At 41.8% G+C, this 13204-nt stretch overlaps 3 long non-coding RNA genes across 10 annotated transcripts in view; 1 reads left to right on the plus strand and 2 right to left on the minus strand.

The window, feature by feature from the left end:
• Positions 1–13204, minus strand: part of COPS8-DT (COPS8 divergent transcript) — a 175051-nt gene that overhangs the window by 125903 nt on the left and 35944 nt on the right. The gene's annotated exons all lie outside the window — the stretch shown is intronic.
• The window catches only part of LOC105373950 (uncharacterized), a 30143-nt gene continuing 16939 nt past the window's right edge, over positions 1–13204 (plus strand). Inside the window, exon 1 of the long non-coding RNA XR_007088140.1 lies at positions 1–13204. This exon is cut by the window's right edge and continues 14911 nt beyond it. This is a non-coding gene — a long non-coding RNA (uncharacterized LOC105373950).
• The window catches only part of LOC93463 (uncharacterized), a 7569-nt gene continuing 6290 nt past the window's right edge, over positions 11926–13204 (minus strand). The window contains exons 6-7 of the long non-coding RNA NR_135202.1: positions 12739–13204; positions 11926–12293 (exon numbers count right to left, since the gene is read on the minus strand). The exon at positions 12739–13204 is cut by the window's right edge and continues 303 nt beyond it. This is a non-coding gene — a long non-coding RNA (uncharacterized LOC93463). The remainder of the gene's footprint in view (positions 12294–12738) is intronic.

Here is a 13204-nt window from a genome sequence, read left to right on the forward strand (position 1 = left end):
CTTCATTATTTTTTCTCATTGTTTCCTTAGAATATTCATTTTTTTCTTTTTTCAATTTTATTTAACATCATTATGTCTTTTTTCCTCCACCCTATGGAAGGTACTTTTTACACAAAAGCTTCTGTCACTAACTATGATTGGAAATGTGACATCCAGTGTGAACATTTATCTTAACAGAATCATTAATTTACAACAAAATGCTAAATACCAGTCCCCTCCAGGAAACAGTGAAGCAGACTTTGCATTCCTTAGCTTTTTTCTTATAAAAGATATTTTAGATCCATTTTACTGCATGAATCATTTCTCTTCCAAATCCAATATGTTAAACGATTTCACAGTATAGCACTTATCAAAACCTACATCCTGGCCAAGTGCAGTGGCTCACATCTGTAGTCCCAGCACTTTGGGAAGCCGAGGTGGGCGGATCACCTGAGGTAAGGGGTTCGAGACCAGCCTGACCAACATGGTGAAACCCCATCTCTACTAAAAATACAAAAATTAGCCGGACGTGGTGGTGCATGCCTGTAATCCCAGCTACTTGGGAGGCTAAGGCAGGAGAATTGCTTGAACCCAGGAGGCGGAGGTTGCAGTGAGCCGAGACCATGCCACTGCATTCCGGCCTGGGTGACAGGGTAAGACTCTGTCTCAAAAACAAAAAACAAAACAAAACAAAACCCTACATCCTGTGCCAGGTCCTAGAATGATTCCACAATAGTGGTGGTGTCCCCTGCTGGGTTTGACCCTGTTCTTTATTTCAGCTAGTGTCCGCAGCAATGACTCTCAGCAGATGCTTGTCACAGCGGAGGGCATGTTTCATGCTAGCAGCTGCACTGCATTTGATGTGCAGGACAGCCCTAGGAGGGTTGCTATTCCCATTCTACAGATAAGGGAACTGACGGTCCAGAGTCACATAGTGAGAGCAGTGAAGCCAGGATTTAGACTTCTGTAGGTCTGAATTCGAACCCAGTCACTGCACTGTACATGTACGAGTTTCCTCTTTCAACCACATGGAACTGACTTTGTAGACTCTCGGGAAGCAAATAAGTCTGACATGACCTCCTCACTTTGTCCATTAGTGCTAGCAAAGGTTTCCTGAAGTTGCAAAGCTGATTCTTGCAGCCTCATGGGCACCCATTTGAGGGGGTTCACCTAGGCCCAGAACCCCCTCCTCCTGGTGGGAGCCCCATGGACCTCCCCTCCGCAAGGCCTTTTAGAAATCTGAGAGCAGAGTTCTAAGCAAGAATTCAGAGAATCGTCTCCCAAACCCAGAAAGGCCGACTTATCCACCCCAGGGCATCTGACCTAAATTCCAACCTTTCGCTCAATTCTGAGCTCTAGAGACTACCTTGATTTTAATTAATGGAAAAGACAAAACAGAACAAAACAGCAGACCTGCAAGAAGTAAGAACTCCCTTCATGGAATGCTTTGTCGCCTTGGGGATGCTGGATGCTATTTATACCCCCATTTTTAATCATATCTTTAAAAATTACTGATGAAGTTTAAAGCATTCACCTGATGGCATGTCAGCACCTCCAAATGCATAATCTCGCCTGTGTCAAAGAACTGGGGAGTCCACCCCATCAACCCCTAGGATGCTGGCTGACTCAGCGTCAAGCAGTGCCAAGCTCCCAAAGCCACGATGCTTAAACAGGTGAAAAATTATGCATGTCAGGTTCCAAAACTGCTCCTCTTATTAATCCATCCGAAGAATACTAACATTAGGAAAACAACAACCTGCATTTTTGTATTTTGTAGCTAGACACTTCTCTTTCTCTATTTCCAGGAAATAAGAAAAAAAAGAACAGCCTTGCAATAGACATAGGTTCATAGAAAAATGAGAAGGCAAGGGGCATTTAGAAGTAGCAACAAGTTGAAATTTTATTATATGCCTCTGACAGTGGTAAGGTTATGTTTTTAAATTTGAAGTAAAATTGTTTAGACATGCTTGTGTTTATTGATAGGAAATCACCGTGTGGCCAGAGCCCAAGAGAATTTCTTCCTGGGACAACTGATCAGAGAAGGAAAAGAGCCTTCTCATGTGACTGCTTTCTCAGTGCTTTTTTTTTTTTTCTGAGATGGAGTCTCGCTCTGTCGCCCAGGCTGGAGTGCAGGGCTGAGATCTCAGCTCACTGCAACCTCTGCCCCCTGAGTTCAAGCGATTCTCCTGCCTCAGCCTACCAAGTAGCTGGGATTACAGGCAGGTCATACCACACCCGGCTAACTTTTGTATTTTCAGTAGAGACAGGGATTCATCATGTTGGCAAGGCTGGTCTCAAACTCCTGACCTCAGGTGACTCACCCACCTTGGCCTCCCAAAGTGCTGGGATTACAGGCGTGAGCCACCGTGCCTGGCCTCAATGCTATTTTTTGACAAAGAAGACTGACCCATGAAAGGCCGACCCTGTCAAGATGATCCTACTAATCATGCCTGCTAAGATGGCGTTCAGCCCATCACTTACACCTAATATCTCAGGCATTTCCTTGGATCAACAGACTTTCAATTTATGACCTCAGAGGAGAGGGGCAAACTTGAATTTCCTTCATAGACACCTCCCCCTAGTACCCTCCTTTCCTCTCTAACCATCCTTCCTTCTTTATCAACTTCGTGGTGTGTGTGCATATGTTTAATCTATCTACATACAGGTAGGAAGTGTCATCTTTCGGAGTCGGCTCAAACCCTTTCGGGTACTGATGAACTTCCGGGCACATTTATCTTTGCCCACAGCTTCTGAGCTCCGCCTCTTCAGAGGCACCTAATGCAGCTTCAGGCCTTGAGGCCTCTCCAGTGTGAGCCACGCCTCCTGCACCCCAGATTCTGGAGGAGGGGGTCAAGTTTCCGGGCAGGCCCCATGGAAGCCTCACTCACCGGGCTCCAGGTGTGCAGGAAGCATCCCCTCTGTCCCAGGCAGGAGGGAGGGGCAGACAGCACGCTGACAACTCTCCCTCCAGGAGCCAGCTCACCCTCTTTGCCCCCCGACCTGGCCTCATATCACACAGGTTCTGGCCCAGGATAATGCTGGGAAAAGACACTTCATGTCACATCATGTCACTCCAGTGATCTGTTCTCTCCTCTACCTTAGGAAATGTATTCTCGGGTTTGTTGTGGTGTTCTCAGCTAAAACACTGAGACAGAAAATTCTCATTTTAACACCCTATGATTGGCATGGATATCGACTAAGTGTTAAGAGCAGATGGTAAAAGAAGGTTTATAGTTTCACATCGTTTTTGCATAAATAAATTAAATATTTATAGAAATCCCCTAAAAAAGAGGTGTTAAAATGGTGTGGGTAGTGGAGTTATGAGCGACTTCTCTGTATGTGACAATTATTTTTCACAATGGACACCTTTAGAATGACATATAGACACTGAAAATGTGTTTTTTCAAAACATGAAAATAAAACATAGAAAAGGCTACAATGCTATTAAGGCTACACTACTCCACTTTGAGTGATTTCCTTTGAAAGGAAAATGATTCTCACGAATTCCCATGGTTGAGAAATTCTTTCATCATAACGTTATTTAAATATGTACAAATATAAAACTAGTTATAAAGCCCTTATTCACTAGCAATGTACATTTACAGGGGGAACAAAAGAAAGGCCCTAACTTAAAAACTAATAGAATTTAAATCAACCATACTCATTTGATATGACAGATTGCATTATTTTGCTAAAACAAAATTGCTAGTTCTGAGTTGAATATTAGAAAACGATGTGTTGGTGGCTTTCTGTTGACTTGTCACTACCTGGAACGTGTTTTTATGTTCAGCTTGGTGGACCACTGTTGGCATCACCAACATTATCATTGTCATAATTTACCCTTTTTATTTTTTACATATTCTCCTGGTTATTTTTAACTGCCAATCCATTATGTTGACAGGCCAATCATTTTAAAATATATTCCAAAATGCAATCATGAAAAATAAAAATATGTCATTGAATGAGAACTTCTTTGTGGGCCATCTCCCGCTACACTGACTGAGAACTGACTGTTGCAATTGCTTCTGAGGAAGTATATGATGTTGGGATCTGGCGGACACATCCCTGGGAGGGGAGCGTGTTGGGCTGACAGCAGAGGCCCAGGTCCTCTTGGCTCCACAGCCGGTGTGGGAGGAGGTCTCAGTTCACCCAGCACGCTTTTCTGTCTAACCTCTGCTACCTTTATTGCTTAGGTAAAACATGACTTCATTTGGCCTTGTTGATGCAGCAGTATCTCTTTAACATTAAGTATGCTTCTGCTCCTATTAATCCAGGACAATTAAAGAAAGCATCAGTTTGCAATACTAGGTCTTTTAAATTCTGTCGAATCAAAGTCTTTGCTTACTAAGTAACTTAAGAAAGTGAAGTCTATAAAAATGCTCTACCAATGATCTACGAGAAATTTTGCCCTCACAGCTGGTTAAAGAATTCAACTTGACACAATGTGAAACAGGGAAGGATGCTGCTGTTAGGACCTGATACATTTTTTGAAACCACAGGGCACTGAAGTGGAGGCAAACGTTTAAGTGTGGCCTTGAAATAACATGACAAAAGTCGTTGTCCTGATAATTCCAAGAAGGCCTGTGATCATTTTTTAAGTTTTCATCAGAATGGAAAACACGATACAAAATTCTCATGGAGAACTTGCCGATGGATGTGAAATTTCCACAGAATTAATTTCTTAAGCGACACAGTCCAGTCGTTTGGCAGTCCTTGGTGTTGCCTGGCTGGCGGCCAGGTCACTTCAGTCTCCGCCCCCATCTTCGCACGGTGGCCCCTCCCTGTGTGTCTTTAACCTGATCATATCTGCAATGACCCGATTTCCAACTAAGGTCACTGTGTTAGTCCGGTTGTGCTGCTCTAAAAAATATCTGAAACTGGGTCATGTAGAAAAAACAGAAACTTATTTCTTCTAGTCTTTGCTGGAAAGTCCAAGGTGAAGATGCTGGCAGGTCCAGCGTCTGGGGAGAGTCCATTCCTCACAGATAATGCAGCCTCGGCGTCCTCACATGGTGGAAGGGGCAGGAGGGGCAAAAAGGGGTGAGCTCCCTCAGTCAAGCCTTTTATAAGGCCGTCGACTTCCACTCACCTCCTAAAGACCCTATTTCTTTGTATTGTTGCATTGGGGATTAAGTTTTGACAGAAGCATTCAAACCACAGCGGTCACATTCACGGGTTCCATGTGGACGTGAACTTTGCGAGGGACACTATTCAACCCATGACAAAAGTCCACACATACTTCCTGAGCACCTGCTTAACATATAAGAAAAAATGGTATGTCTCTTGGTTTCCCAAATTTCATATTCCAGTGTGAAAGTACAAGGACACATACTCGTACTATCTGGGCACGAAGGTCAGCTCTGTTTTCAAATTATTAAAGAACATATTATCACTCTAAAAGCGTGCTACTTTGAGGGAAAAATAAAAGAACTATTCACTCATTTCTCATTCAGTTAGCATTTTTAAATACTAAGATACATGCTTTGCATGTATTTTGTGGGGAAAGATTTAAGTATACCTAAGACAAGGTTGCTGGCTCTTAAACCACTGATGAATCCAGTCCTGTCCCAGACCTGGCCCTCATCTCTGCTACAAAGGAGCGATAGCCCATTCCTACTCCAGGAGGAGAAACTCCCTTTCATCCTCCCACTCCAGGGCAGCAGGAACTTTTTGCAAAGAAAGCAGGAAAGATAGCAAGCAGAGAGCTGCTTTGTCTTTGGGATTGGTTTGCAAATAGAACCTCTCAAAGCAAACTCTTCCCCTGGAAAGTCTGGGATTTCTCCATGGGACAGAAAAATATGCCTTCCTATTGTCAGACAGATAAGGCAGTGGATTTTCCTTCTCAAAAAGGAGTGTCCCTCCTTTGCCATCAGAAGACTGTCAACATTGTCTGAAGCAGGTGAGACGAAATTTTGACAAGAGGGAGAAATAGATCAAAGAGAATGTTTTCCACTTCGGGTGAAACTTACATAACATTCCCACAATTTATGAGGTGTGCCTTGTCCATGTGTCTCCTCTATCATATTAATCACTTAATGTTTTTCTTTAGGTTGACTCATTTGAAAATTTAAATACTTTTTCCCGTCCTAGGCAGTAATATCCATGGGAAAAAACTGATTTAATGCTCCATTTATATTTCTCAAATTCAAATTAAATATATAACTAAAAATAAAAAAAATGTATCCATCTGTCATATAAAATCCTCCCAACTAGCACCCATGGGATGCGGCTGCACATGAGAAATACTGATTTAATGTAAGCTGAACGGCGATGAGTTCCTGCAATGGGCAGTGATGACTCTGGACCCAACAGGAAGAGAGTGTGGTCATAGGAGAGGAGGATGCCAAAGGCAGTTAGTGTGGCGGTCAACCACACAGAACTCTGCAGCCCTGCAGACCTGGCTTTGGTTCCAGCTTCATTACTGAACACAGAGCCTACCTTGTTTAAGCCTCAGTTTCCTTTTATACACACTTGGAATACTATCTCCTGACTCACTGTGTTATTGTGAATATTGACATTCACTCACTCACAGACATTTATTGAATGCCTTTTATGGGATACCAGGAACTGTGCTTGGGTCCTAGTTCCAAGCAAGAACCCCAGTCCCTGCCATATGCGTGTTTCAGCAATCACCTCTAAGTTACTTGTCTAATAAATCTCTGTATATACACTGTCATCCATATGCAATATAGTTACTTTCGATCAATGTCCTTATTTCTCGTTTTCCAATTAAAGAACTGCAGAATACCTGGGTATGCATGGATCCTACTCATGATCAGATGCTAATTGTAATGCAGACTGATTCCTGCCTGCATGGAGCTTCCCACCTACTAGGGGAAAAGAGATATCAATTAACTAATTTCAAAAGTGCATGTATAATTACAAAGCGGGGAGAGTCCCAGGAATAGAGATGGCATTGAAGAATGTAACACAGAGTCCCAACCTGGGTTAAGAAATCAATGAGATAATGTATGTAAAGTACTGTGAAATAGCCCATTGTCCATGTTAAGCTGGCGATGATGATAAAACTGAAACGAGATTTGGAATTCCCAGTGTCTGATCCAGGCTAGGCTGGAGGCATTGCCAGCGGTCCAAGGAAGAACCCCATTCAGTCTGTCTGCACGCATGATCAGTCATCTCAATTTGAAGTTACTTGTTCGTTAAATCACTCCACGTACGTGGCCACGTACAGTACAGTTGAAATTTATTTTAATTATTGTCTTTATTTCTACTTTTTCAGTGAAGGAACCACTTTTTGATATGGTCTATACAAGAATGCCTGGACAGTGCGGGCCGTACAGATGATTAAGTCACTACACTAATGCTCAGTGAGAACTGACCCCAATAGAGGATTTAGGTCATGTAGCAACAGATGGCACATTCTCATCAAAACCTAGAGTGCCTCATCAACTGCCCCATGGAACACTGTGGAGGTTGCTGGAGATATTCCAAATGAATGCACATTACATGCTTCCATCTCCGTTTATCTCGCTGCAGTTGTAGGGTGATTAATCTGATAACATAATAGTGATTTAAAATATTTACTTTTACCGTGACATATCATTTATTCAATTGTACTTCAAAGCATCACCTGGATGCTCCCATGTTGCTGCCGTAATCATGCAAATGTAAACATTTGGATTGTGATTGGATGACCTAATTACTTTGACATTTGTCATTTATTTTTTAATTTTCCTTTCTTTTACAAAGGCACAGGAAATGCAGTACTTGCCAAAAAATCACTGCGTACATCCAAAGGGGAATTTATAATGTTTAATGACTTCAGATTTCCCTGCTGCTGAGTCCACATTCTCCACTGTCAGCAGCACAGCCAAGAAAGGAAATCACAGAAGAATCTTTGATGTCAAAGAAAAGCGACTTGAATGGCAGGGAGGGAGATAATGGGTATCGGTTTCTTAGAAAAGACAGAGTGACATAAACTAGGACATAGAGGGTGGAAAGGAAGCCTGGCCTCATCTGGCATGCCAGAACTCAATGTTTACTTTATAATAATGTCAAATAAGCATACCTGATATCAGACACCCTACAATTGTGTACTTTCTTTTTCCTGGGATATGTTTAGCTCCTTTACAAGAAGATGAAAGTGAACCAACTTTTATAGGAAAAAAATCTGAAAACCTAACAACCTGCCCCTTCAAAGAAATAATCAAAGTAACATTTTTGGTTCAATATATTTTCCCAAAGAAATCTGACAATATGATGCTTACACAGTTTTCTTGGCATTTTTTTCAATGTTCATTATTTGAATGATGCTGTTAAGAAGCCAACCAAGGAAACACACACAATTTATAAAACTTGCATAAAGGAAATGTGTGCTAATGTGACTTGAGAACTCCAGGAAGATCTGCTTCCTCTTAGAAAACTGTACTGTGTTCTCTTTCATTCATGTGTTCAATTATTGAACTAACATTTGGGAAAATAGGTTAGTCTGGCTGGAGATGATGTTTTGTGGATCTCCTGCCCTCTCTCTCAAACTTCCTAGAGCCACCTTGGCTCTCTTCACACCACTGTTACCCTCTCTGCCTTCAGGGTGACTCAGACATCTTTGCTTACCTGGCAGCAGGCAACAGCCTCTGAGAAGGGAAATACTCACATTGGCAAGAAATGCCAATTGCTGTTGGGTAGAAAAAGAAGTTTCAAAAGCACAAAGGAAAACATTCATAAGAATTCCCACTGAAGCTCCCTGGGCCAAAGAACTTTGGTATATAACATTACAACACTGAGGAGAGACCTGATTTGCAGAAGGACCATCATGACTCCTAAGAACAAGCTAGATCAGGCTTTGTTTCCACTATGTTCCATTTCAAAGTTTCCTAGAAGATTATGATGTGGCAAAGTTTTTCTGAAAAAATTCGGTGCAGTGATCTTGTAGTTTTTCTCATGTGAAGCAATATGCCCCCAAGGATGTCAGATGACAGAGGCATTATGGAAGTCTATCCCAAGAAGTTAATGACGAGGTGCTGCCACCCATTCCTAGAATACTTGCATTGACTCGTGAAAACCACAAACAGAGACTAAATCCTCCCCAGATGGTGGGGCTAGGAGAAGTTCTTTGGAACAGGCGAGTAGCCTTTCACCATCCCCAGAAGGGACCTCCATGAGGAGCATTTCAAGCATGACCTGGGAGGAGCTATTCAGGAGGAGGGGGATTGATTAGGATGTCCACAAAAACAGCCTGCTGCAAAGGGCAGGCCAAGGGTAGTTTCCTAAGGAAAACAGGAAGACTGTAACCAACAGGAGAGGGGAAGCAAGGGGAGAGTGGATGCTCCCCACAAAGATGGTGCATTTTCTAGAACATCCTTTCCCCTCCTGGAAGACTCTCATCTGAGTGCTATACCTGAGTCCCACAGCCTTTCGAGCAGGTAGAAAGGGAGACCTCTCAGTTATGCAGAGGACAGGGCAAAGGGAGGCTATCTCCATAGCATCACTGTCCCAACAGCAAGCATGGCAAATCTCCAGGGTCCAGTGTCCTGCAAGACTGAACTCGAGGGGAGAGTGCCTGGAGAATTTGGTTTACACAAGAATGTCTAGGAGACATTACTGGAGGTCAACATCCCCTCCAAATTCCTCCACCTGTAGAGGAAGCAAGGCTGCAGCATGGATGATATGAGACAGAAAAGCTCTCCGCAAGAAGCCTGCCCCCAGCTCATATGCTCACACTTACTGAATAGTCCTCACAGCTCTGTCTAAAGCTCTCACTTACTTTTGAGGAGATAAAAGCCATCAAAAGCCAGGAACTTAAAACATGTTTGAAGAGTCACCTTTACCATGTGGCCTCTTGGGGGTGTTTTGAAACCCTCAGTCAGCTCACTAATTTCAGAGAAAAAGGCCTGGGAATACACTGCATATTTCTTGTTAAGTGGAGTCAGTACCTGAGGACAAGAGGGAGGTGCTTCCTTCCCCCAAGAATTCGGACGGAGAGAAAATCCTGAGGCTTGGGGAAAGAGAGGGTCTAGAAATCAGGCCTCGGTCCTCCCGGGAACATCCATGGTGTCGTTCCTCAGGGGCTGTTTGTAATCTCAGCAACGCAGCAACAGAGATCGTGACCACAGTTACAAAGGCTGCTCTTGAGTCTCAAAGAAACTGTGAGGCAATGGAGAAGTCGACGGACCCGACGGCCTTTATCCAAGACTTTCCAAGAACGAGAGATGTTAAATAAGGCAGACACCAACACTGGGGCTACTCGTTAGCTGCTTTCTATTAAGAAGTGGAGACGGGTTTTCAGTGTTCATCATGTCCACCGAGATTTTTCCTGAATCCATGTTCACTTCCCAACTTCCATATCACTCTCATTCCCAAGTCCACTAATCCTGAGAAGGAGGTTCCAGCTAGCAATCTCTAACAAGGAAATATCACTCATGAAAAAATTAACCAATTGCTATTCTGGTTTATTTTATCCACTTATTCTAGCAATATTTGGAATCATTTCTTATATTCCAGGCACTGTGCTACTATTTGATGGTATCCAAATTTGAATAAGATACAACCCCATTTCTAAATGTCTCTAGCATTATAAAGACATTTAGAAAATGCTGTGGCACTGCAGTCATATGCTAGAAGAGCAGAGAAGAAAGCTACCTAACTCTATTGATTGGGTGGTGGTCTGGGCTGAGGTTGAATTCCTAGAGGAGGTTTTGTCTAGGCTGAGTCTTTAATGTACCTCATCTTTTAATAGGTAATAGATAGATGAATGGCAGAGGGAACATGAAAAAGCATAGAGGTGTGATTTAACATGGTATGTTTGAGAAACCTCAAGAATTTTGGTGTTGCTGAAGTGAAGAGTTTGAGGCAGTGAGTCTTGAGAAATAAGGATAGAAAAATTTATACAGGAGCCAGAAGTTTGAATACAAGAGCTTCTCAAAAAGGTTGTGTGAACCCCCCAGGGATGGAAGGTCTATGGTAGTAAGCCAGGGGGAAGAAATTAATGCACGGCCATTAGGAGTAGAATTTAAACTTTACTGAAAAACATAAAAGAATCCCTGAACAAATGACAGACCTGCATGTTTATGAAAGGGAATGCACAATGTCACAAATATGTCATTTCTCCCCTAATCAATCCAATGCAATTCTCACTTACAGTCCTGGTGGGCTTTTCTTTGTGAAACTTGAGAAACTGATTCTAAAATTCACTTTTGATGAAAAACTAAGAGAGAGGGTGTTATGGGCTGAATTGCATTCCCTCGAATTTCCTATGTTGAAGTTCTAACCCCTAGTACCTCAGAATGTAACTGCATTTGGAGATAGGGTCTTTGCAGAAGTTAAGTTAAAATTGTGGTCATGATGGGGTGGGGCTAATCCAATATTAATGAATATTATAAGAAGAGGAATTCACAAACGGACACATACAGAGAGGAGATGATGTAAAGACACAGGGAGAAGGCCATCTACAAGCTAAGAAGAGAGGCCTGGAACAGATCCTACCCTCATGGCCCTCAGAAAAAAGCCAACCCAGCCAACACCTTGATCTTGAACTTCTAGCCTCCAAAAGTGTGAGAAAATAGATGTCTGCTGTTTAAAAATTTCTGTTATTTATGGCAGCCCTACTACAATAGGGTTTATAATGGCAGCCCTAGCAAACTGATGCAGAGGGTCTTGTGCAATTGCTATTGTGAAACTATACAATTTAAACAGCCTAATATTAGCCCCATGATAGACAAACAGACCAGTGCAACAGAATAGAACATCCAGAAACAGGCCCATTAGAAAAGTAAACATTTTAATCTGACAATACCAGTGCTCATACTCTCCAGGCACTTGGTATGTACCTTGGCAAAAACGGAAGATGTGCATGTCTTTTTACCCAACAATTCTCCCTTTGGATGCGTATTCTAGAAAAACTCTCATGTGAACAAAAGGTAATGTGTGTATGATGCTCATTCTAGTGCTGTCCAACAAACAACAATAAAAACCACCTAAATGCCCATCAATAGAAAAATTATAATATATTCACTTGATGGAATTGCTTTTCCAATCTGAAAAAAGTCTTTATTCATCTTTGTTTTTGAAAAATATTTTCACTGGGAACAGAATTCAAGATTGGCAATTTTTTTCTTTCAGTACTTTTAAAATGCAGCTCCAATGGCTTCTCACTTGCATTGTTTCTTCTGAGAAATCTGCTGTCACCCTTATCTTCCCTCCTCTTTATTTTGTCTGTCTTTTCCTTTTGTCTTTTTTGTATGACTGCTTTTAAGATGTTCTCTTAGTCATTGGTTTTAGCCAATTTGGTTAGTATGTGCTTTCGTGTAATTTTCTTCACATCTTCCTATACTTAAGGTTCTCTGTGCTTATTGGATCTATAGGTTTATAATGTTCATCAAACTTGGAAAATTTTGGCCATTATCTATATAAATATTTTTCCTGGCCCCTTCCCTTTGGTGATTCCAATTACATATATATTAAACACCTGACATGATTCACAGCTTATTGATGTTCTGGAGGTTTTTTTCTGTACTTTTCCCTCTTTGTTTCATTTTAGATAGTTTCTATTACTAGATCTTAAAATTTACCAAGTTTTCTTCTGCAGTGTCTAATATGTTGCTAATCCTATAATTTATTTTTTGTCTCATACATTGTATTTTTTTCATCTCTAGGAGTTTGTCTTGTGTCATTTTTATATCTCCCATGCTTCTATTTAACTTTTTGAACATATAGAATACAGTTATTATACTGATATTTTAATGTCCTTGTCTGCTAATTTTAACATTGGTGCCAGTTCTGGGTCAATTTTGATGGACTGACCTCTCCATTGAGGGTTATATTCTTCTGCTTCCCTGAATGCCTGGTGTTGGGTGCTGAAAGTTGCTGTAGTCCTTTCAATATTATTGAGCTTTATTCTGGGATGCAATTAAGTTACTGGAAATAGATTGATCCTTTTGAGTCTGGCTTTTAAGATTTTCTAGGTAGGACCATAACAATGCTGAGTCTATTTCTACTTATTCCCCACTGATTAAGGGAAGGCTCTCTGTGTATTCAAACCAAATGTCCTGTGAATCATGAAGTTCTTCAGTCTGGCTAATAGAAACAGGCACTGTTCTCAGGCCTTGGTCAGCTCCAGTTACTTCCAGTCTTTTTGAGTAGTTCCTTCCCCAAACTTGGGAGGTTTTCATGTGATCATAAGTACTCACTGGAACCCTCAGTGGTGACCCTCTGCACCCTCTGTATGCCTCCTGGTCATTCTTCCTGTGCAGTACTCTCCTTGCTGGAA

The sequence above is a fragment of the Homo sapiens genome, chromosome 2 (genome assembly GCF_000001405.40).
Source record: "Homo sapiens chromosome 2, GRCh38.p14 Primary Assembly".
NCBI classification, from domain to species: Eukaryota; Metazoa; Chordata; class Mammalia; order Primates; family Hominidae; genus Homo; species Homo sapiens.